The 24,488-nt window shown below is 53.2% G+C and overlaps 1 long non-coding RNA gene across 1 annotated transcript in view, besides 4 other annotated features; it reads left to right on the top strand.

The window, feature by feature from the left end:
- Positions 1 to 24,488, top strand: part of VSTM2B-DT (VSTM2B divergent transcript) — a 238,742-nt gene that overhangs the window by 94,677 nt on the left and 119,577 nt on the right. The window contains exons 2-3 of the long non-coding RNA NR_040029.2: positions 2,264 to 2,343; positions 18,108 to 18,299. This is a non-coding gene — a long non-coding RNA (VSTM2B divergent transcript). The remainder of the gene's footprint in view (positions 1 to 2,263; positions 2,344 to 18,107; positions 18,300 to 24,488) is intronic.
- Positions 827 to 996: an enhancer, noted in NCBI's record as "experimental_50884 CRE fragment used in MPRA reporter constructs". NCBI's record gives its function as "activates a minimal promoter by MPRAs in K562 erythroleukemia cells, with activity observed for both the introgressed and non-introgressed 19:29921070 variant alleles {active_cell/tissue: K562}" and the evidence as "EXISTENCE:reporter gene assay evidence [ECO:0000049][PMID:34662402]".
- Positions 10,976 to 11,707: an enhancer, noted in NCBI's record as "H3K4me1 hESC enhancer chr19:29910274-29911005 (GRCh37/hg19 assembly coordinates)". NCBI's record gives its function as "activates a minimal SCP1, AML or CMV promoter by ChIP-STARR-seq in primed H9 embryonic stem cells {active_cell/tissue: H9 hESC(primed)}" and the evidence as "EXISTENCE:reporter gene assay evidence [ECO:0000049][PMID:30033119]".
- Positions 13,174 to 13,907: an enhancer, noted in NCBI's record as "H3K4me1 hESC enhancer chr19:29908074-29908807 (GRCh37/hg19 assembly coordinates)". NCBI's record gives its function as "activates a minimal SCP1, AML or CMV promoter by ChIP-STARR-seq in primed H9 embryonic stem cells {active_cell/tissue: H9 hESC(primed)}" and the evidence as "EXISTENCE:reporter gene assay evidence [ECO:0000049][PMID:30033119]".
- Positions 15,218 to 15,512: a silencer, noted in NCBI's record as "tiled region #9443; HepG2 Repressive non-DNase unmatched - State 13:Ctcf, and K562 Repressive non-DNase unmatched - State 13:Ctcf". NCBI's record gives its function as "represses a minimal TATA promoter and a strong SV40 promoter by Sharpr-MPRA in HepG2 and K562 cells {active_cell/tissue: HepG2 | K562}" and the evidence as "EXISTENCE:reporter gene assay evidence [ECO:0000049][PMID:27701403]".

The raw sequence follows: 24,488 nt of genomic DNA, 5'->3' as shown, positions 1-24,488 counted from the left end.
TTAGATTTGGGGGTGGGTGGTGGCAGGTGTGTGTGAGGAACCTAGGTGGGGCTGTTTGGCAGAGTGTCTGGAATGGGACCTGTGGCCTGGCTGCTCCTAGGGAATGGGCACTGGCCTTGCTGGTTTAGCATTTTCCGACATGAGGATCCTTGACCCACACTTCTGAGACTTTCTGAGCAAAGTCTGGGAAACGCCGCATGTGATGGCTCTTTCTGGCAAGTCATAGCAATATCATGCAATGAAGACCCTGAGAGGCCCTGCCATAGACACCTGTTCAACTTGATTCAATCCACCCTGTCCCACTTTTTCTTAATGGGAGAATCACACCATCCCCTTTTGCCCAACCCAGCCCTGTATGGGAACTGTATTCAGCCATTCTTGTGTTGTCTTGTGTTGCTATAAAGGAACACCTGAGACTGGGCAGTTTATAAAGAAAAGAGGTTTATTTGGCTCGCAGTTCCGCAGGCTGGACGAGAAGGATGGTGCCAGCATCTGACTTCTGGTGAGGCCTCAGGAAGCTTTTACTCATGGCGGGAGGTGGAGGGGGAGCAGGAGTCTCTCATGGTGAGAGAGGGAGCCAGAGAGAGCAAGGGGAGATGCCACACGCTTTAAACAACCAGATCTCATGTGAACTCAGAGCGACAGCTCACTCATCACTGAGGGGTTGGCCCAAGCCATTCATAAGAGATCTGCCCCATGACCCAAGCGCCTCCCACCAGGCCTCACCTGCAACACTGGAGGCCACATTTCAACATGAGATTTGGAGGGGACACACACTCACACCATATCAGGACATACCAGTTTGTCAAACTAGGAGCTCCGAGGCATACGTTTTGGGAAAGGCTTCCCCAGGGCTCCTGGCATCTGGGAGGGTCAAGTTATATAAACAATGGCATCTCTGAGACCCTGCGGGTTCTGTCCTATATCAGATGATGTGGGACCCTTGGAGAAAGATGCCACCATCATCCCTCAGGGAGCTCACTCTCCATCTCCGTGGGCTCCCTCATTCCAGCCTGGGATACAGAAACACTGAGCCGGAAGTTGGGGTGTAGCAAGCCCCCTACCATGGATCTCTAAGCCTGGATGGAAGCTTGGGTGGGGCGAGGAAGCCACCCAGCCTCCTGAGGCAGAGCCAGTTGTGCTGTGGGATAGTGGGGTGGACTTCCCGTGGCTCTGCCCCTCAGCCCCAGCACCAAGTAACCCCTGACGGCGGGCGGCGGGGGACAGGCATTCACTCCCAGCTCACTCACTTCTGGTGCCCTGAACCACTGACTTAGTGCAGCCTCTGCTAGAATTCCACCCGAATGCCCTCCAAGACGGTGCTTCGCTGACCCGTGTGGACCCTCTCATGGCGGGCCGCTGTCGACATCTGCTCAGCCTGCTGGCCATAGAATTCTCTCTTCTGGGAACAGGCCCTGACCTTTCCCCGGGAACTCCCCTCCTCCACTCATCTGTGTGTTTCGGGTGGGTCTGACCCCATCCCTTGGTCCAGGGCAGGCATGGGGCCCAGGTCTGGCCTATCCATGCTCTACCTCTCTGGACATGGCATTTGGCCTAGGGATGGCATGTGACCCAAGATGGGCCAGTGAGAGGGGCTGTCTTCTGCTGAAGCTGCCCTCCACCCCAGGATGAAACTTTCGGTGCAGGGAGTTGGCTTGGGAGCTGATTCCAGGAAGCATAGGGAGAGGAGACGAGAAGTGAGACAGAGAAGGGAAAGAAGCCGATAAGCAGGTTACTGCCGTGGGCCATTGACACCACTGAGGCCACTGAGGCTCAGCCCCTGGGCAGCCCGGGAGATGGGGTGGCACACACTGGGGAGTGTTTCCACCTGCAGGGCCAGGAAGCTGTGTGTTGTCCTCCAGCTCCCACTCATCACGTGCTGAGGGCTGCTCCTGGAGATGTGCACTCCAGCGCCCCATTGCTGTGTTGTGCTCAGGCCGCTGACCTAGTGTGTCCCTGTGACCAGAGACTGCCCTTTGGTGGAGATGCAGGTGCTGCTGTTGGCTGGATGGGGAATGCCAAGGGAGGGAGTGAGCGCAGCCCAGCAGTGTCGGAGGTGGCACTGACCTCCCACCTTCCCCTCTCCTACTGCTCTGCCCACCCTCAGCCCGATAACTGTCATTCCTGCACCTGCTACCCCTGCGCCACGTTGCCCGTCCTTCCCTCCCATGATGCTAATACTGTGTCCCCTTTCTGTACTTTCAGGCTGTTTTCTGGATTCTTCCTCCTTTTCCACCAAGTTAAGTGCTGGTATTTTTTGCAGGAAAGTGACCACTGTTCCTGGAGGATTTGCATTGCTGGAGAAGTGCATTCTAACAGTGGAATTCAGGCGGCGAGAGTCGGGTAGGGGGTTTTCCCTGTTCCTGGTGGGTTATGGTCTTCAGGGCAGCTGCAGTGATGATTCAGGCCCCTGGAACAGGGAAATAAGGGGGCTCTCTTTTTTGTTCTTTTGAGAGGGGTGGGGTAGTGCATAGCTGAAGAGTAATTGGAGATAATGTAACTGTTTACACAGTAAGTGATGTTGTTTCATTTTGTGCTACATTTTGCCCTAACGCTAGAAAACATCGTGCTGAAAAAACAGACATTACAATCTCCCTCACATCTTAGGTTTTTGCTAAAGATTAAAAATGTTACTTCTCTAATCTGTTTCTGAAATTGCTTTGGAAATGCCATCATCAAGACCAAAATGCACCAGGCAGTCGTTAGAAAAGCAAATAATACTCGCTCCTCATTTGCCTAAAACTGTCAAACGATCGTGCAATCTGTGAATAGCATTCTGTCTATCCCCTGAGTCCTGTGTGCATTTGGGAAATTAATTATGACTCTCTTATAAGCACATAAAAGTGATGCACATGGCCATCAGTTTGTTCCATTTCTACAGGCTGGAGCTATTAAGCCTGTGAGAGGCTGTGTGAGCAGTCGCCAGGCTGCGTGTGCTCTGGGGGGTGGAGTGGGCACAGGCAGGGGGCGGTTGGGGGGAAGGAGTGAGGAGAGGGGAGACCTTGGTGGTGGGGAGGATAGAGGAAGGTTCAGCAGCAAACTTGGGAGCACCAGGCTCTGCAACCTGGGAGGACAAGGCAAGTGCCCTGGCCAAGCGTTGCACTAGCTGTGTGATGGGGACATGTTTCTTCCTGCCTGAGCCTCAGTTTCCTTGCTTGTACAGCACCCACATGGCTGAGCTGTTGTGAGGATTCAGGGGAGGAACTGGGCAGAGCACTTGCATGTAATGTGTCACTGCTGTGACCGTGTGACCGTTACTGGTGGCAGGAACCACTGGTAAACCAGGGATGGGAGAATGGGGTCTTGTATGTAGAGTTTATAATCAGCCCTGAGCCCAGAGAGCCTCATTACCGACAGCGCAAGCAGGACAGGTCTTCGCTACTCCCCAAGAGAGCTCAGTCCTCTGCCTCCGCCTCTGGTGTAACCACAGTTCACTTTCCCATCTGGAAACCCTTACCTACACCGGCTCTGCTCTCTGCATTCTCACTCTCTTTCTCTCTCTGGCAAACTGGGCTCCATCTGTACAATCCTAACCATCCTTCAAGATAAAGCTCAAATGCCAGATTCTAAGGGTCAGCAGGGCATGGTGGGAGGGGCCTGGGCTCTGGAACCAGACAGAGTGCCTCAGTCCAAATCCAGGTTCCACCACTCAACAGCTGCGTGACCTTGGGAAAGTCACTTACCTTCTCTGTGCTTCTGTTTTCTTATGTGTAAAATGAGAATAATAGTAGTACCCACTATTAGGGTTGTTGAAAGGATAGAATGAGTTAACAAATGTGATGCACTTAGAACAGTGTAAGACACAGAGATAATCTACACCAGTGGTCCCTAATCTATTTGGCACTGGGGACCGGTTTCATGGAAGACAGTTTTTCCACAGACCAGGGGAGGGGGATGGTTTGGGGATGATTCAAGTGCATTACATTTATTGTGCACTTTATTTCTGTTATTATTACTTTGCAACATATAATGAAATAATTACACAATTTACCATCATGTAGAATCAGTGGGAGCCCTGAGCTTGTTTTCCTGCAACTAGACGGTCCCATCTTGGGGTGATGGGAGACAGTGGCAGATCATCAGGCATTAGATTTTCATAAAGAGTGTGCAACCTAGATCCCTCGTGTGTGCAGTTCACAATAGGGCTCACGCTGTTATGAGCATCTAATGCCACCACTAATCTGACAGGAGGGGGAGCTCAGGCAGTAATGCCAGCGATGGGGAATGGCTGTAAACACAGATGATGCTTTGCTCACTCACTGTGTGGCCCAATTCCCAATAGGCCACGGGTGGTCACAGACTGGTACCAGTCCATGGCCCAGGGGTTCGGGACCCCTGATCTAAACAACAACAACAACAACAACAACAACAACAACAACAACAACAACAACAAACAACAGCAGCAGCAGCAGCAGCAACAGCAATGTAGTATCTCCTTTAGGAAATGTCTCTGACCATGAAGCTGACTTAATTTCTCCTCTTCTCATGGCCATCTCCCTCCAAAACACCTAGCAAAGAGAATTGCCTATAGTAGATGTTCCACAAACACTCACTGAATTAAGCAGAAAGATGAAAGCATGTAGAAAATGGTAGGTTAGAGGTGGTGACATTCTTGCTCCCTCCTTTCCTCCTCCTTTTTCTTTTCTTCAATGGATATATTTCTTTATGCCAGAAGGCTCCCTGGGGAGCTGAGCCTTTGCCTGGAGAGTTAAAGAACAGGTGGAAGGCAGAGGTAGGCAGCAGGTCTGCATCTTGGGGGAGCCCAAGCCTGTGTTCTGTTCCCTCTCTGAGCATCTTCTCTCTGAGCATCTTCTCTGCCCTGGCGGCTGTCACTGTTGCATGTCGGGGGAGGGCTGTGTGGGTGTCTGAACCTTTGTCAGGCTCCCCAAATCCTCCCCACCCTCACCAGGACCCTTTCTAGCTGTCCAGAGGTGCCTGGTTCTGCCTCCAGGTCTCTGTCACTGCCTCCCACTGTGTCCCACTTCAGACCTTTCCAGGGCAGCTGCTGAGCTTCCCTTGTGAAGCTTTGTCTGTGTCTCCAGTCCTCAGTGTCCACCCACTGTGCAGGTGGCCAGGTGAGATGGGGTGGCTGGTTGTGGGGCTGCAAAGTGGAGTGGGGACAGACAGGCTTGTTGCTGGGATCTAGAAGGCAGCCTTGGAGAACGTGGGCCTGGGACAGGGTTTCTTGGCTTCAGCACTCCTGGCTTTTGGGGCTGAATGATTCTTTGTTGTGGGGGCTGCCCTTGCATTGTAAGATGTTTATAGTATCCCTGGCCTCCACACTCTAGATGCCAATAGTATTCCCCCAGGTGTGACAACAAGAATGCCTCCAGACATCATCCAGTATCCCCTGACTGAGAACCATGAGCAAGCAAGAGGATCGGGGGCTGTGGAGTACAAGTTGTGCCAAGATTCTCGGCAGGAGGGATTCTGGCCTTTCAGAGGCACTCCAAGGAGGCCAGTGTGGCTGGAGCTGAGAGTGAGGTAGGCACAGTGAGGGGCACAGCTTCCCAAATGCCCCAAGACCCAAGCCAGCAACTTCTGGTGGCAGCTCAGGCCTCAAAGCTCTTCTTAAAGGCAGAGAGGAGAGTACCTTTTAAGCTTCAAAGCATTCCCTTGGGGAGCAGGCTGGGGTGATAGGGAAAGGCAGGCAGGAGGGTAGGACATCTTCTTGGCTGATTTGGGAGGGCTGATCCTCAGTCCCCAGATGCTGCAGAGAGTGGGTAGAGGGGCCCAGTGGTGTTTTGGAGAGCCAGGCTGCACTGGGTGCCTGTCGTGGGCAGGGGGTGCCTGGAGTGCTGCAAACACCAGGATTCAAGGGCACGTTGGAGGGTTCTAGGCAGAACAGTGACTCATGATTGCTCCCTCTTACATGAGGCTGTGGACTACATTCTTCTGTCCCTCCCCCTAAATGTATATGCTGAAATCCTAACCCCTAAGGTGATGGCTTTAGGAAGCGGGGCATTTGGTTTTAGGAGGTGGGGCATTTGTTTTAGGAGATGGGGTATTTGATCAGGTCATGAGTGTGGAGTTCTCATGAATGGGATTAGTGGCCTTATAAAAGAGATCTCAGAGAGCTCCATCATCTCTTCTACCATGTGAGGACACAGTGAGGAGACGGCCATCTATGAATCAGCAAGAGGGCCCTCTCAAGACACCGACTCTGCCTTGGTCTTGGACTTCCCAGTCTCCAGAACTGTGAGAAAAAAAGGTGTTGTTTAAGCCACCCAGTATATGGGATTTTGTTATAATAGCCTGAACAGATTGAGACAGATGGCCATGGGTCATATAGAGGGTGGTTAGGTGCACAGGGAGACCAGGAGGACGTGCTGGCTAGGCAGGGAGGGCAGGGCCTGCCCCAAGCTCTGCACTCTTCTTGGTCCTTGGCTTCTCAGGTGTGAGCACCAAGTGGGAAGAGACGGTGGAAGTGTTGCCCTGCCTCCACCCTTGCTCTGGCTTCTGGCTTTAAACCATGGCTGAGTCTCTGCCATCTCCCAGCTCCCTGACAAGTATGCCTGCTTTCTGGGAAGCCACAATTAGGACCCCTCTGAGACACTGCAACAATTACTGCCTGCCATGCCCCCCATCCTCCTTTGGGTCTGGCATAGCCCTCTTCCAACCTGGCTTGCTCTGACTTCCCCTCAGGACCCACTGCCTTGCCTGGTTGGGGCTGGGGATGGAGTTCAGCAATCAGAATCAGGTGACTTGAGTCTAGCCAAGGTCCCTGGGGCAAAGTGGAACAGGACATCAAGCCCATTCCAGGGCTCCCAGACCGGTGGCTCTGGAGCTGCATTGGCCCTTCTGTGTTTGGGCAGCTCCCCTAGGCTGTGTGGCACAGTTGTTTAATGCCTTTTCCCATCACCATAAGATGTTATCCTCACAAATCATTCTCCTAGGAACATGCTGAGTTTACATCCTCCAGAGTAGGTACATTTCTCATAAAGTAAGGGGGAGTATTAGTCTGTTTTCATGCTGCTGATAAAGACATACCCGAGACTGGGCAATTTACAAAAGAAAGAGGTTTATTGGGCTTATAGTTCCACATGGCTGGGGAGACCTCATAATCATGGTGGAAGATGAAAGGCACATCTCACATGGTGGCAGACAAGAGAAGAGAGCTTGTGAAGGGAAACTCCCCTTTTTAAAACCATCAGATCTCATGAGACTCATTCACTATCACGAGAACAGCACAGGAAAGACCCACCACCATAATTCAATCACCTCCCACCGGGTTCCTCCCATGACACATGGGAATTGTTGAGTTACAGTTCAAAATGAGATTTGGATGGGGACACAGCTAAACCATGTCAGGGGGTGCTGGTAACATATGCCACATGAACGGCCTGTCACCATCACCCTGACTGGCTGGGTGTCATCATGGGATTTTATCTTGATGAGTGCAGTCCCATGAGGACACAAACCTCATTCCTCCCTCTTGCCCTGCATCTGCCTCTCCTGTCATTTCTGCCACTTGACTGACCTCTGCGAGGGTGCTGGAGTTTGAGATGTCTCCAAACCTAAATGCTCCATACATAGGAAAGGAAGGAAATGCTTTCTACCAGGATTTTTGACTGGCTAATATATTTAGAACTTTATTTTGAATCTGTACTTTCCAACAAATTATCCCTCTTCTGAGGAAAAGTACACACACACACACACACACATGCATGCACACACACACACACATGCATACACTTATATACTTTTATATCTGGCATCACTTCTCTCAGAAACATTTCTCAGGTGACAGGTAGTCCCTGCAAAGAGCCAGAGGTCTGGGCCTGGAGTGAGGAGGATTGGGGTTCCAGGTAGAGTGGAGCCTCTGATTTTCTGGGTGGACATCTGTGACCCATTCTCCCCAGTTCATGTCTCCCTAGGCACATGAGAAATGTCATGCCACCTCCTGGATTGGCAGCACGTGCCCGTGTCCTGCCTGGTTTGCACATAGGCATTCACGAGGCAAAGCCGAAGTGTGTAGTGGACGCTGAGTGTCAGGGAGGGAGGGAAGGAGATGGATCATGGATCTCTCCATGGCCTCGTGGCCCTCATTCTTTTTCTGGGCTCTGGGCTTCTGGGTGGGAGAGCAGGGGTCTCAGGAAACATGGTCCCCAGGGATGGGTCTGTGGGAAGCTGGGCACTGTGCCACCTCCAGAATAGCCTGGCAGTAGGGTGAGCAACAGGCCAGCTGTCTCCTCCTGGAGCCAGGGGTCAAAGACTGGTCACCTCTGAGTGCTGGGGGGTCCCTTACCAAGGCTGGCAGGGCAGGGCGGGCTTGCAGTACCGACGTCTGCTCTTGGAGCTCAGAATCATGCACAGGGTCATGTTGAGCATTTCCACAGCATAAAAAGTCACATTCCAGGAGCTGTGTGTGAGTGTGTGTGTGTGTGTGTGTGTGTATATATATATGTGGTGGGGGTTGGGAGGGTCAGGGTCACAGCTGCCACCTCATTCCAGCCAGATGTCTCCCTGCTTCCTGCAGGAACATGGGTCTCCAATGGTTCAAGGGACGATGAAAATCTAGTGTGTGTGTAAAAATCTAATTCTAAAACTGAATTCCAAAAATTAAAAATAAAACACATGACAAAAACGACACCTCCCTGGGCTGGACCTGGCTTGCTTCAGTTTGTCTGTGACCCCTGGTCTAGAAGGACGTGGCCAGGCCAGGCCATGACAGCAGGGCTTGCTGAAAGGGTGGTCTGGAGGGCTTCCTTGGAGGAGGTGTCTCTTGGCCCACAGCTCTGCGGATTGGGTGACCCCTGAAGAAGGCAGCTGGGGGGGCCTGGATTAGCCAGATCACTCCCTGTGGTGGCCAACTCTGGCCTTGACCCCAGGCCCACAGGCCTCAGTTTCTCCATCGCTCCAGTGACGGGCTGGATCCAACACCTGTGGGCCAGGAGGCTGAGTCTCTGTGAGTGGCAGATGCCGTCTGAGCAGGCAGTCTCATTACTCCTGCTGTCCTGTCCTCCCACTGCCGAGGGACCCACCCACCCTGCCCTGCACTCAGCCTCAGCCAGGTGCCAGAACGGTCAGCCTGGGTCTTCTCTGGAACTTTAAAAAGCAGAACCAGTAGGGCAATGCTTAACCCAACAGGGTAGCTCTGCAGCAGTGAAGAGCAGGCTTTCTTCCTATAAATTATGTCCCCTGCTGGTCCCTAGGTGCTCTGGCCCCAGCGTTAGACAGTTTCCTCTGGTACCTGCACTAGAGAGGAAGTGTGATAGCCTGGCTCTTCTGATGACACGGGCCCGGGGAGATGCTTCTCAGCCACATCATCACCTTAGCGCCCTGCCTTGCGCCAGTGGGCTGCTCTTGGGCACCAAATCAGTGCTCTGGGGATTAGGGAGTCCTGCCTTCCCCTCAGAAGGGGACACTGAGCCTTCCTGTTCCCATCTTCTTAGTGCATCTAGCACTTCCACAGGTAGCTGGAAGAATCAGAAATCGATGATTCATAAAGCGGTGATTTAAACAATAAAGGCAAGGTGGGGGCAGCTCTAGCCCCCCGTGATGGAGAAAGTCGGTGTCTGTGGACCCTTTTGTGCTTTCAGAGAGCACAAGTGGAAAGCCAAATCAGTGTATTATGGGTTGGAAATACCATTAATTGGAGAGGAAATTGAGACCAGATATTAGGAAAATATATGATGGTTTTTACACGAGGGCCAGGAAATCATCAGGGCTGACGCTGATAATTCCCCTAATGCTGCACGTCCTGTGAGTCATGGGCTGGCGGGACTGACACGCTCGCTCTCGCCCTGCACACTGCCTGTCTCCACTCCAGCCCCGCTCACCGTTCCCCTGCCCAGGCCGTGTCTGCACTGGCACCATAAACCTCCATTATCAGAGGTTTAAAACTGGGCCATAAAAACTCTAGGGCTGAGACGTGGCATGTAAGGTCTCAGTCTGATCATGGCCATCCCCTTCCAGCTGGGGACTTAAAAAGTGGGTTGATTGGGCTGAAAAGACAGCTAATATGTTCTGAGCGGAGAGGAGGCTGGGACAGGTGGGTGTGAGCGTATGTGTGAGTGTGGGTGGAGACGAGGCCGGGGGAGGTGTGTGAGAATTTATGTGTGAGTGTGGGTGGAGACGAGGCCGGGGGAGGTGTGTGCGAGTGTATGTGTGAGTGTGGGTGGAGAGGAGGCCGGGGAAGGTGCGTGTGAGTGTATGTGTGAGTGTGGGTGGAGATGAGGCCGGGGGAGGTGTGTGTGAGTGTATGTGTGAGTGTGGGTGGAGAGGAGGCTGGGGGAGGTGTGTGTGAGTGTGGGTGGAGAGGAGGCCGGGGGAGGTGTGTGTGAGTGTATGCGTGAGTGTGGGTGGAGAGGAGGCCGGGGGAGGTGTGTGTGAGTGTATGTGTGAGTGTGGGTGGAGACGAGGCCGGAGGAGGTGTGTGCGAGTGTATGTGTGAGTGTGGGTGGAGACGAGGCCGGGGGAGGTGTGTGTGAGTGTATGTGTGAGTGTGGGTGGAGAGGAGGCCGGGGGAGGTGTGCGTGAGTGTATGTGTGAGTGAGGGTGTGCACACACTCGGTATGTGCATGTGTGCATGACTGTGTACCTATGTGATGATCAGTGCCTGCACCCACTTGAGAGGGCACGTGTGTATATGTTTTCCTGTGCATGAGTGTGTGTGCGCGTCAGTGTGAGTGTGGCAGCACTGTGTGATTGTGTGCACATGTGAATTTGTACACATGTGTGAGCATGTATAAGTATGTGAGTGGCATCTGTGTGAGCATATGAGCATGTGTCAATTATGAGAGCATGGTGAGACCATGTACAGATGTGTGAATTGTACCCGTTATGTGTATGTGTGTGCACATGTATGTGGATGCATGTGGATGTATGGGAATGTGCATCTGTAAGCATGTGTGTGAACTTGTGTGAGTGTGCATGTGTGAGACTGTGTGTGAGACTATGTACAGGCATGTGAATTGTGTGTGTGTGTGTGTGTGTGTGTGTGTGTGTGATGCTTATGCGTCATTACTGGGGTCATCAGGATCGTCATAGGTATTCACTTATGAGGCAGAAGCCCCAGTTCAGGGTGTGGCTCTTTACTGGGGAAGGAGGAGGCCCCAGCCAGTGGGTGCTGCGTGTTCCTGGGGGTCTTAGGCTCAGGTGTGTGGGAGTTGAGGTGCTGGGATGATGATGGCTTCCCACAACCAGCTCTCACCACGTGCCAGGCACTGTGCTAGGCGTGTGAAAACCCCCAGCTCATTGTGTCCTACTGACTCTGTGAGGGGAGGGGTGATATTATTCGAAGTCCCTAGGTGAGGAAGCAGAGCGTCAGAGAGGTCGAGCTACTTCCTTGTGGCCACACAGCAGGGCAGGTTCAGCACCTGAGCCAGGAGCCGCCACCCTTTGAGTTTGGAAAGCCACTGAGACCACCCAAGGCAATATGATCATGCCACAGATGGGAAACTGTGCCCAAGAGGGGCAAGCTGTGACCGGGGTTTCCTGGTGGAGTGACACCCAACCGCTACCCCAGGGTCCTCCCTGCACTGTGCCACTGAGTGGAAGCAGAAGGGTGGGGGTGGGTCACAGGAGCAACTGGGGCTCCCCAGCAGCAGCCAAACCCAATGTAAGCAAGCTTGGGTGCACCGGCCAGGGCCACTGAGCCCCAGGGACAATGGGACCAAGCATCGGGCTATCTCAGGGATCAGTTCCCCACCCTGCTCCGTGTCTCTCTCTTTAATGCATACCACCTCTGAGAGCTACTTGCCCCACCCCCTCAGGAGTGATGGGTGGCCTCTCTTCCCTAGTTCCGGTGGGAAAAGTTTCAGGGAAGGAGCCTAACTGGTTTGGCTCAGGTCACAGGGCTTTTGGGGATGATGGTGGGAAGTCTCCAAAAGCACCCCTCATTTGGAGAGGGAAGTTACCCCCAGATCAAGGGAGGAGTGTGGGGCAGGTGGATGCTGACTGCCTTCCTGGATATGCATGTTCCTGGAGCACATAGGCCCCCAAAGCTGGGCGTATGTCGCCTCTGGCACATGTGGCCACAGGAGCCTAGATTTCCCTGGCTTTGAACTGGTATTCTGGGGAAGGCCAGACACAGGAAGGGCAGAGGGAGAGGCACTGGGAAGAGAGGGTCCTTGCCTTTAGGGGAAGAGAATCAAGGCCTGGGTTTGTGAGCTGTAGGGCAGGGAGAAGGGAGCCCTGAGCTGGCATGGGCTGCCTGGCACGGGCAGCCTGGTATGGGTCAGGGCCAACAGGCTGCCACCAGCAGGCTATGGTGGCCTCACCATGTGCAGCTTCTCCTGGGAACAGGGAGTGTGCTTGAAGGACTGTGGGGTTGCTTCCCAAGGAATCAAGTGGCTGGATGCGGCCCCAGATGTGATCCATGCTGTGCTTGTGTACCTGGAGATGCGAGAGAAGGCCCAGAGGCAGTTGAGAGCTGGGTTGAGCTCACACAGTGCTGCAGGCCCCAGCGGGTTCAGAAAGAAGATGTTCTGCTTCCAGCCCGGGCCCCTCCCCTCCACAGTGGCTCAGGGCTTTCCCCAGCCCCAGACCTCCCTGGGGAGCACCTGGACCTGGTGACACGACCCCAGGCTGTGCTCAGCTCTGGCTCTGCTGCTCACGAGGGTGGGACAGACATGACACAATGGGCGCCACCGGTCCTGGCTGCAGCAGATGGGGCCCTACTTGTCTCCTCCTTTACTGACTCATGTGGGCTGGGCCTTTTACAATCCAGGGCATTTAGGAAAAGCTGCTATAGGATACGAAGGTCCTGAGAAGTCCTGCAAGTAAGAGCCTGGCCAGAGCTGGGGCCCTGCTGTGTGTGGCCCTGAAGCCGGGAGCCGGGCTGCTCTGCTGAAGATGGGAGGCGGGAGCTCCCTGCCGGTCACAGAGCCCCGACTGTGTGCGCACGTGCGTATGAAAGAGGGGATAAAGGGCGATTTGTTGGATTAGAGGCTGAAATGCCAAATGTAAGCTAGAAGGGGTTTATCTACCTTTTAATGTAATTGTGAGACAAGCAATGAAATGTTTACTGTTTGCAGGCTGAGCCAGGAATAAAAACCTGATCAAATACAAATGCCTGCTTCCTCTGCACTTCTGCTCTGCCCATGAAGATGACTGGTAGGTCCATCTCAGGCTGCCTCCTGAGGCAGAGCCTGGAAACCCTACCTGCTGGTTGCCTTCCAATGAGTCAGCAAACCCGCTCTAAGCTCCTGTATGTGGGGCCCTGTGCTGGTCAGCGGCTGGAGGAGGCGAGGGGAGGGTGAGACCCTCCCCGGGGACACCACTAACACCTAATGAGACCCTGCAGGGACCGCACCCCCTGGGGAGGGTCTTGGGCTCACCAGCACTGCCTTGTCCAACTCAGTGTATTGTTAGAGTGGGGGCACCTCTCTTTGGAGGGTTTGCTTTTTGGAGGCCACAGAAATTGGGGGAGGCTGCAGTGGAAGTCCAGGGTCCAGAGGGTCAGACGAGGAGAAGGGATTCTGGAGTGGCCTCCATAGGAAGGGCCCTGGGAGGAAGCTGGTCCGTGTGCAGGTGTGTTACTCACTGCTGCAGAAGCAACTTGCTGAAGGGGTTGGCCCCTGACGCGGAGGTTTCGGAGCTCTAGAAGGCCCAGCACCTGCAGCCTGGGGGCTCACTGCCCAGCAGCCATTTTAAAAGTTCATGGACAGCTTCATTCCAAACCTCAAGAGAAACACAAGCCAAGTGCCAGCGGCACTGGCTTCTGGCCTTTGGAAGGTGGTCCTAGTGCGTTAATGGAGAACTGGGGCCTCCCACAGGTTGAAGTTGTGCTGATACCTACCCAGAAGGCAAGGATTGGGAGCTCCTCGGGTTGGGAGAGGTGTGGACAGTGCCCCACTCCCTCTGCAAGCGCCCCTAGAGGGCTGCTTCAAGAACAGTCTGGCCCCACAGAGAGGTGTGTCTGGCTAGGTGTGAGTGTACCTTAGGAGAGGTTTCTAATCCTTCATGCCTGTCTGCCAAGGGTGCCTCAGAGCACCTGGTTTGTCCCCATCAGACTCTCTGAGTGTTCAGGAAGTGGAGTGGAGGGCTTGGTTGAGTAGAGGGCTTGGTGGAGTGGGGAGCTTAATGGAGTGGAGGGCTTGGTGCAGGCCCCCATTGAATTCCCAGTCAGGGCTAACCAGGCATTCCCCGAGGCAGGAAGGCACTGGTGCCAGCAGCCAGGCTGTGGCTGGAGGAGGCTCTGCCCGCAGGGAAGCGGGGAGGCCAGCCCGGGGCTGGCTCAGCTCTCAGTCCAGCCCGCTCTCTGGAGCTCCAGATAGGCAGCCCAGGAGCTCTCAAGGGACCATGGATGAGCCTCCTGGGTGTCCCTCTTGCTCCTGTGCTGAGATTTCTCTCCCAGCTTCTCCCTGTCTGGGCAGCTTGCTCCCAGCCTGCTTGCTGGCACAGTGTCTATGACAGGTACCACGCCAGGTCCTGGGCTGCAGCATTGGACAGGACAGAGGTGGCCTTCGTCCTCTTGGGGAATACTGGTGAACACACATTTTCCTGAAGAGCACCAGTCCTGAGAGGTACTCTGGTGGATAAAAAAGTTTTACCATCAAAGAAGTGTAAGAAATGCCACTCACTGAACGTCCTGTGCAGACTAGTGTTCCTCCAGAAGAATTTCGAAGTCCCAACTCCTGGTACTTATAAATAGGACCTTTCTTGGAAATAAGGTTTTTGCAAATGTAATTAAATAAATGATCTGCAGATGAGATCATTCTGGATTGGGGGGGCACAAATCCAATTAGTGGTGTCAGAAGAGGAATGAGAGGGAGATTGACAAGTGTCAGAGAGGGCCTCCCTCCCTTAGAGCTTTCAGAGGGAGCGTGGACCTGTGGACGCCTTGATCTTGGACTTCTTGGCTCCAGAACTGCGAGAGGATGAATTGCTGTTGTAAGCCACCTGGCGTGTGGCACTTTGTTGCTGCAGCCCCAGGAAACAGATTTACCAGATGTCCTTGCTGGAGATTGACAGAGTATTAAAGATACAGAAGATGCTGACAAGTCCCGCCGTAAGGTTTAGACCAGGTTAAACCCAGGTGCTGGAGACTGATATCCCATACCCCGAGCCGAAGCAGAGCCTGAGACAATGGCTTGTGTGTAGATAGTTAATTTGGGGGATATGTTCCCGGGAAGCAGGAGTGCACCCTCAGGAAAGGTGAAGAGGGGTGGAGGGAGACCATGGTGGGTGACTGGAGACCCTCTGGGGCAGCGTGTAGAACATGCATCAGAATTGCCCACTGGAGTCGCTGTGGATTTTAACTCCCCTGCACTTCCTAGGGTGGATATGCACCAGATGGCTGAGTGGCTTCCTGGGTATCCGGGGTATCCCAGAGGCAAAAGCAGAGAAAGCCACGTGGATTGCCACAGAGGCACTGCCAGCACCTCCTTCTGGTTTCTCCTGCAACTGCTGGAGCAAAAGGATGAGCTGAGATGTGGTGCAGGGCGCTGTCCAGCATATCAGGTTGCCCATACGCCTTGAAGCCTGTAACACCTTCTTTTGGTCATCCCTGGGCATCCACAGGACATAGGTTCCAGGACCTGCTTTGGTTCCCCAAATCCAAGGATGCTCAAATCTGTGATGTAAAATGGCTTGCATTTGCACATAGCCTACACACATCTTGTCAAGTGCTTTAAATCATCTCTAGATTACTTATGATACCTAATACAATGCAAATGCTACGTTCAAAGTATTACGTGGTATTTTAAAAATTGTATTATTTTTAATTTTTGTATTGCTTTTATTGATTTTTCCCAAAGATTTTTGATATTTTTGAATCTGCAGATGCAGAATGCATGGGCGTGGAGGGCGGACAGTATACACTGAAACCCTGATGCATGCGGTGGTCCATGCAGAGTTCCGCGGGGCCCTCTGGAAACACTGGCCCAGTGAATTGTGCATTGAATTGAAAACATGGGCTTCTCCATCACTCACTCATTCATCCAATCATTAATTCAGCAAGCTTTCTTCCAGAGGGCAAGCGGCCCTCTTGCTTGTCCTAGCCCCAGAGAGGAGCACAGTCTCGGGCAGGGCTCAGTGCACAAAAATACTTATGTAAAGGACTAGATAGCACATATTTTTGGCTTTTTGGGCCATATCGTCTCTATCAGTATTGTAGTCTGATGGTAGCCATAGTCAATAAGTAAATGAATAGGCTTGGCTCTGTTTCAATTAAACTTTATTTGCCAAATGAGAGGTGAGTTGGATTTGGCCTTTGAGCCACAGTTTGCTGATCTGTGGTCAGAACCCATGGAGATATTAATACACAGCCTGGGTTTCAGAAAGCCCAGAAGATGGTGCCATTAACACTGTTCAGGGAAATCATGGAAGACTTCATGGAAAAGGGGTAGGTCTTGAAGGATTTGCAGGAGTTTGCAGGATAGAAAAGTAGGGAAAGGCATTCCAGACAGAGGTGACTGTGCCCAGGAGAGCACCCTGGATGGCTCTGAGGAATGAGACTTTACAGCAACTGGAAAAAAGAAAGTTGAATTTAGTAAGAGGAAAGTTACATTCATAATTAATGAAAATTGAGGGATGATTCTCCAGGAAGTGTTTTCAAATGAGACAAGCTATGGGCAGTTTTAGAAGCAGAGATGGGTGGGAGGAGAAGACAACTCCTTCTTTTTTCCTTTCTTTTTTTCCAGGCTGGAGTGTAGCGGCGCCATCTCGGCTCACTGCAACCTCCACCTCCCAGGTTCAAGAGACTCTCATGCCTCAGCCTCCTGAGTAGCTGAGATTATAAGCATGTGCTACCATGCCTGGTGAATTTTTCTGTTTTTTGTAGAGACTGGGTTTCACCATGTTGGCCAGGCTGGTCTCGAACTCCTGGCCTCAAGTGATTCACCTGCTTTGGCCTCCCAAAGTGCCAGGATTATAGGCATGAGCCACTGTGCCCGGCCAGACTCCTTCTTTCTTGCTGAGGCTCTCTCCCCTGGGACCATCCTCTGCAGCACTCAGGCCTCAGATGAACTTGGAGGCTGGTCCAGGGGTCTGCCCAGGACTAGGGGCAGGTGGAGCTCAGATCCCTGACTCTGCATCACAGAGCTCACCACGCTGCCTGCCACGGCCACCCCGATGGGCACATGCCCCATCACCTTGGCAGGTTATGATTACTCAGGGAAGTGTTAGATAGAACCCTGCTGGGCTGCATGGAGCTAAAACAATCCAGGATCTGTGCCTCTGTGAGGCTGTGTGGGGCTGGTGGGAGGGTTTCCCTGGAGGCATCCACTGGGGGCCGGGGAGAGTTCTGCTGGGGCTGCCTTCCTGACTAGCTCCAGGGTTTCCAGCCTGTGCTGGGGGCAGCTGCTCAGGCTTTCTTTCACCTGTGTGGGCACGTGCAGGGGTGGGGATGCCCTCTCTGCAGTGCCAGCCCCACAGCTGAGGGCCAGAAGCTCCCTATGCAGAGATGGCCTCGGTCAGAGATGGCTGGCGTTTCTGCCTTTCATCAGGGAAACTAGTGGTGCAAGCAGAGGGACTCTCAGACAATCTGGTGACTTGGCCCTTAGTGGTGGAGCTGTTGCCATGGTCTATGGGGAGGGAGCCCTTTGCCTCTGAATCATAGTTTCTGAGTTTTGAACTGTAGTTCTGGGTTTGTGCTGAGACTCTCCCCAACCCCCATTCTCTCCAGAGCCAGAAATTGCTTTGGAGTGGGAGTGTGGTGAAAGAAGGTAGGTCAGTGTCAGTTGTCACAAAATCGCTGCATAAAAACCACTGAGACCTGGTGACATGCAATTGTAAACATGTGTTTTTTTTTCCCTGTGCAACAGTGGGTCATTTGTGGCTCTACGGATCTGAGCCAGGCCCGGCAGGGCTCACTCATGGGCCTGTGGTTGTCTGCGGGTTGGCAAGGTGGCTGTGGGATCTTCTTCCACCTAGGGCCCTTGGCTGGGCCCCTGGGGCCAGTGTGGCTCTGCTCCACGCATCTCCTCCTCCAGCAGGCCAACCTGGGCCTGTCCTCCTGGTGGAAGTAGAAGCGCCAAAGAGAGTGGCAGCTCAGCCTCGCATTGGCACACACACTCACTGCCACTGGGTTCTGTCAGCCACAGCAGGTCACCCTGCTAGGTTGGAGAAGTAGATGCCACCTCCTCAGGGAGTAGCTGCAAAATGTCCTTGGGGGCCTGGAGGCAGGGAGGGGTGGAGAACTGTGGCTATTTTTTTTGCAGTCAATTCACCGTACCATGTGGACTCCCCAGTGTGGAGCAGAATCTGAGGACTGACTTGCTAAGAATCTCTGGGCACCCTGGATAGAACCTTCCCTTTGGCTCTGAGCATGGTGGCTCACACCTGAGATCCCAGCACTTCGGAAGGCCGAGGTGGGAGAATTGCTTGAGGCCAGGAGTTCGAGACCAGCCTAGGTAACGTAACGAGACCTTGTCCCTACAAAAAATTAAAAGAAAATTACCCAAGTGTATTAGTCCATTTTCACACTGCTATGAAGAACTGCCTGAGACTGGGTAATTTATAAGAAAAGAGGTTTAACTGACTCACAGTTCCTCATGGCAGGAAAGGCCTCAGGAAATTTATGATCGTGGCGGAAGGGGAAGCAGGCACGTCTTACGTGGCGGTAGGTGAGAGAGGATGTGTAGGAAGTGAAAGGGTAAGAGCCCCTTATAAAACCATCAAATCTCATGAGAAATCACTCTCTATCATGAGGACAGCATGGGGGAACCACCCCCATGATCCAAACACGTCCCACCAGGTCTTTCCCTCAACACCTGGGGATTACAATTTAAGATGAGATTTGGTGGGGACACAAAGTCTGACCCATATCACCAGGTGTGTTGGTGCACGGATGTGGGAGGATCTTGAGCCCAGGAGGTTGAGGCTTCAGTGAGCCATGAATGCACCCCGGCACTCTAGCCTGGGTGACAGAGGGAGCCCCTGTCTCAAAAACAAAAAGAGAAAGAACCCTCCTTCTAAGTTATCTTCATTCTTCCTACGTTCCCACTGAACCTGCCCACAGACCCTTTCTTGGCACAGCCCTTGCAGCCTGGCCTACCGTCGGCTTCTCCTGAACAGCATGCCTGTGCAGCTCTTGCCCAGAGCCCAGAAACCTTCTGGAAAGGGGAAGCTGGGAGGAGTCCGTCTCTATTTCCTCTCTCTCTCTCCCCAGCCCCTCTCCTGTGGGACCGACCAGTGGAGCTTTCAGGGTGCTCCATCTTCCTCTCTGGGCTACTCCGGGCTTTATCTGGCAAGTGAGGCCCCACTCATGGGGCTGTCGCCCTGGCTAGGTACAGATAGGTCCTATGCATGGATGACTTCAGGCAATTCTCACAACAACCCTGCCAGGTCATCTGCATTATCCCCGGGGTCACATGAAGAAGTAGGTTAAGTAAGGGGCCAGGTCCCCCAGCTCCTCAGTGGCAGAGACAGGGCTGAAACTCAGCTGGGAATGACCATTGAGTATGGTGGTTTCTTACCCCCATCCCACAGATTGGAAGACCGAGACCCTCCTAGTCAAGTGACAGATTCCCCTTCTCCAGCTCCGCAGTGGCCTGGCAGATAAATGCTAGGTTGTTTTTTTTTAATTTTTTTTTTCCCCTTCAAGTTTCCATCTGTTCACGCAGTCACCGAATTTATGCATGTTCAGGCACCATCTGCGACTGCAACCCCATTTCCAAATCCGAAAGCATTTTTCCTTTTTGTACTTAACATGCACAGCGGCGCGGCGGTCCAGAATAAATAACTCTTCTTGGATTGCCAAAGTTCCAGGGGCCTCCACGGGAAATTTTCTCTGAGGAGTGGGGGAGGAGGGAAGGATTTTGCTAAACTGGAATTTTGTTTTTCTGACGTGGGCTATTTCTTCTGGCTGACATTTTAGCGGGCTTCCATCTGCTGGCTGCATTTCATGACCCCTCTTTGTTGTCTCCTTTGATAACAGAAAATGTGCACCACCGCTGAGCTGCTGTGTATGCGTATGTGTATGTGTATGTGTGTGTGTGCGTGAGAGTGCATGTGTGTGCGTGTGTGCGCATGTGTGTGAGTGCGTGTGTGTGTGTGTGTATGAGTTGGCATGTATGAGTTGGTGCATGCCTCTGAGCCCACACCTCATGTCTTTGAAAGCCCTTCTGATTGCCCCTCACCTTGAGACCATCGTGGTCACAGTCACACAATTTGGGACTTGGGGAGCGATGACCTGGCTGGAAAGCTGGAAGATGTGGTGACTGCACAGGTCCTGCAACTTCCAGAGCTTCTCCAGAGCTCCCAGAGGCCAGAAAATCAGTTTTATTTTAGATTCTGAGAATGAAATTTAGAAACCCTTCTCTCTCCAACCTTTTCCTGGAATACTTAGTAGTTTTCTGACTGTACCATGGCTAGGTTAATTTTCCTTATTTTATTTTTTATTTTTTGCTCTTGTCATTTCCTGTTTCCAAACCTTCCACAGATGTTATCCATCATCATCAGTGTGGCTGGCTCCCTCCAGGCTGTCTTTCTGTCTGGACCATTTCTGTCCCCTCCTGCCCTGGGAGGGTCTCTCTCGATGCCTTTGCCTGTACCACACTTCTGTGTGGTGTGTCCTCTGCCCTCCCCATCTTTCCACACTCTAACTGTCCTGTCCCTGTCCCAGAGGGTGTCCCTGCCTGCTCTGTGTCCCTGAGAGCCAATGCTGCAGCATCCTCCCAGAGCCAGTCCCAGGTGACACAGAGCCCCTTCCTGTGTCTTCCTCATGTGTGTCTCCTTCGGTGCTCCACCGCCTGGGTGGCCCACGTTTGGTGGATTTCACATGGAATCTGGAGATAGAGTCTGATGTGCATGTGGTTTGGGGAGCTGGCTTCTCTCAGCAGGTGGGAGATTTACACACAGGAGCAGGAGGATCCTTTGAGCCCAGGAGGTTGAGGCTGCAGTGAGCTGTGACTGTGCCACTGCACTCCAGTCTGGGTGACAGGGCAAGACTCTGTCTCTAAAACAAAACAATCTGACATCCTGGTCCTTAAGGTGATGGTTTTAGGAGGTGGAGAATTGGGGGGTGATTAGGCCACTGGGGAGGAGCCCTCATGAATGGGATTGACGGATTAATGCCATTTTTGAAGAGGCCTGAGAGATTCCTTGCTGTTTTGTTAGAGTGAGAAGATGGCCATCTGTGAGGAAGTGGGGGGCCCTCATGCAATACCAAATCTGCTGGGGCCTTGATATTAGACTTCCCAGCCTCCAGGTGTGAGCAATAAACTTCTGTTGTTTACAAGTCTCTCCTAGTCTCTGGTATTTTTGTTATGGCAGCCGAAATGGATGAAGACAACACCTGAATGCGCCCGTTCCTAGGCCCTTCTCCAAGTCTTGGCTTGGTGTTTGCAGCTCCCCCTGCATCAAGCAGCAGAATGCAGCTTCTAAGAGTACCAGCTTTGACAGCAGAGAGACCTGGGTTTGAAGAATTCTAGCTCTGTGACTGGACATGGCCTGTGCTTTCTGTCTGGACTATTTCTCTCCCATCCGCCCTTGGAAGCAAACTCCTATTCATCCTTCAAGACCCAGATGTCAGATGCCTCTTCTAGGAAGCCTACCAGGCCCTCCATGGGCCACATGTACAGGCTAAGCCATCTACCTCTGGGCTGGCTTCTCTTCCCTGTGTGCTCCCCAGGTCAGAGACCGTGTGGCTCTTGGGGGCCCACAGAGCTGGCAGCAGTGAACATTGGATGGATGGACTGTCATTTTGTAGCAACAGGAGCCTCCCGACTCCCATCCATGCCCCTACAATGGATTAGTCTGTAGGGCCCAGCCCTTTCTGTGGGCGCTCAGCACAGCATGGTCACCCGCTAGCCCTGGCCGGGCAGCCCCTCCTGCGGCAGGGAGTCCGAAAGCGTCCGGATGCTTTAACTGCCACCGGCCAGGCCCTGCAGGAGCCCAGCTCAGGGAGGAAGGACAAGGCATGCCTTTTCTCCTAAATGGGAGCTAACGAGTGTGGTCCCCCAGCTGCTCACTGTTGTCAGAGCTGTGCCCTGTCAGCTGGAGGCTCAACATGTGGCTGTCTGTGGTGGGGCTTCTGGGGGGACGGGGTGGCCTGCAGAATGCCCATGCAGCCTCCACTCCTGGCAGAAGGCCTGTGCGCTAGGCCCCCAGCTGATACATCGGGAGGGAAAGAGCACCTGTGCTCTCCCCACCTGTGCTTCTCCTTCCCTGTGGGCAGGCGGGATCTAGCCCTGCCCTTGCTGGAGGTCCTTCCTGGGAACCTCTACACAGCCAGGCTCTGCAGTGTCGGCTCAGGCGTGCACTGAGGGTGGCCCCTCCACAGCATCCTCAGGACCTCAGGCATGTGACGGTGCTTGGGGGACATCTCTTGGCTACAGGTCTGCCCTTTCTGGACCATGGCACTGGATGTAGCTCCAGGGACTCCACTCCTTGCAGAACAAAGGGAGGGGAATTATCCTCATTCAGCTCCAGCCCAGGGAGATGCCTTCACATCTCCCCTCTAGGAGTGCCTGAGCTCCCTAGAGCCTATGACACAGGGGACATCCTGGCCCTGCCCCTTACTGAATGTGTCGCCTTCACTCTCTGAGTCTCCGTTGTCTCATTCACAAAGTCAGCATGATAATAATCATACCTGCCTGGGTTCTTGTGAACAACAACAAAAACCAAACAAAACCATTATGCAGAATGGAAAAGCTTTGTCAGCATACAGCACTGTCCTTGTAGAGGCGAGTGGCCGGGCACCCACAGCATGGAGCACCAGGGATGTGCCAGCTACCACACGCAGGCAGAGACAGACTTCCTCCTGCTTCTGCTTGCGGGATTTGATATTGTGGTGAGGGAGGGGACAGATGCTCCATAAGTGAGCCCAGGCACATGTCATCCAGCCCGTCTATGTGCACATCGGGCCTCTAGGGGCCAGAAAGTGGCTGGGTATTTCACCCCCATCCCCAGGAAAGATGAGGCCCAGCGGGGCAAGATGCAGGGAGTGGGCTCTTTCTGGCAGTCACAGGAGTGGGTTCTGATTCCAGGCAGGCTTGCTGTATCTTCTTGGCAGATGCCGTCTGGATCCTTAGGAGCTGCAGGGTGGATGGCAACAAGGTCTGGACGTCACTGGGCAGTGAAGCGGGGGCCTGGTTGGCCAAGCCATTGCCTGATGGGGATACCAAAGAGGGGTCTAGACAGGGAACTGCAGGTCCTCCCCATTCTGCCATCCTCTTATGGTCCAGGGGTATGAAGCCTTCCAGCCACACAATCTCGAGGACAGAACTCGAGCATGTTGGCCCTAAAAGCCCCTCTTTCCACCACCCCACTGCAAAGATTAGGTCCAACTCTCTGAAGGTTATTGAGGCGGAGAGGCAAGTGCCAAGGGCTCTGGATTTTGCATCTGGGAGACCTTAGGCTGGTACCTTCTTCTCACTGGGCCTCAGTTTCCCCCTGAGTCAGATGAGAGGGTTGGACCAGATGGTAACAGGCTTTTCATCTGTGGCTTGCTTGTGACCATCAAAAAAAGCAAAAACACGTTAAAGCCTCGCCAGTCATCATTTTCCAAGTTTCCCCTGGATTTTTCCATCGGAAGACAAAACGTGATGAGACCATATGTCAGGCTAATTGTTCCCCAAACAGAATTTAAACATTTGAATATGCTTGCAACAGGGAAGGGCAGGAAAGAAAATGGTGTTGCAGGGGGTGGAGGTAGTAGAGTCTGGCTCTGTCCCTGGGATGTGCTACAGGGGTACCCTTGCCTTCAGGGCCATGGGGCTGCCTGGGGCAGCAAGAGGTCTGTCAAACTGTATGAAAGGTCAAGGCTGGTGGGCCATGGTTATAAAGTCCACCCACCCACTCACTCTACAGGTAACAGCAGAGCACTCAGCTGAAGCCTGGCCCAGCCCTGGGTGCTGGGAACCTGAGGATCAGGGAGGGAGACAGCTGAGGTCCTTGCTGCTTTGGAGCTCCCAGGTCAGCAGGAGAGACAAGTGCCAGGATGGAAGGGGCCACACAGGGGCTGGGGGTGCCAGTTGAGGATTAGGGGAGGCCTAAGGGATCGGGGGAGCCAGGTAACAAGGAGGAAGGGGCAAGCATTTCTGGAAGAGAAGGCAGAGAGTGTGAGGGCCAGGGTGGGAGCAGTGTGGCCACTGGTCCTGTAGAAGGCTTGTCGCATCAGAACCAGAGGGGTGCTGGGGAGAGGGGCACAGGGTTGGGGGGCCGGAGGGGTGGCTGGGGGTCCCATCACCTGTGGCGGGTGGGCTGCCTTGTCTGGGCCCTGCAAGTGATGAGGAGGGGCTGACAGCCTGCAGCAGGGGGGTGACAGGACACCTCTGGGCTTCTGTCCCAGCTCTGTGCCTTCCCCTGATGTGTGGTCAGGTACACGGAGGAGGTGCACCCCAGGGAGGGCCGTGAGTGGAGTTATTCCTCACATCCTTTTTTTTTGCATTTATTATTATTTTTAGTTGACCATAATAATTCTACACATTCATTAGGTACAGTGATATTTTAATACATGTAGAAATGTGTAATAATCAAATCAGGGTAATTAGCATATCCATCACCTCAAACATTTATTATTTCTTTGGGTTGGGAACATTCAAAATTCGTTCTTGCAGCTATTTGAAAATATACAATACATTGTGTTAATGATAGTC

This window comes from Homo sapiens, chromosome 19, assembly GCF_000001405.40.
Source record: "Homo sapiens chromosome 19, GRCh38.p14 Primary Assembly".
Lineage (NCBI taxonomy): Eukaryota > Metazoa > Chordata > Mammalia > Primates > Hominidae > Homo > Homo sapiens.
This window is presented reverse-complemented; position numbering and strand designations above follow the sequence as displayed.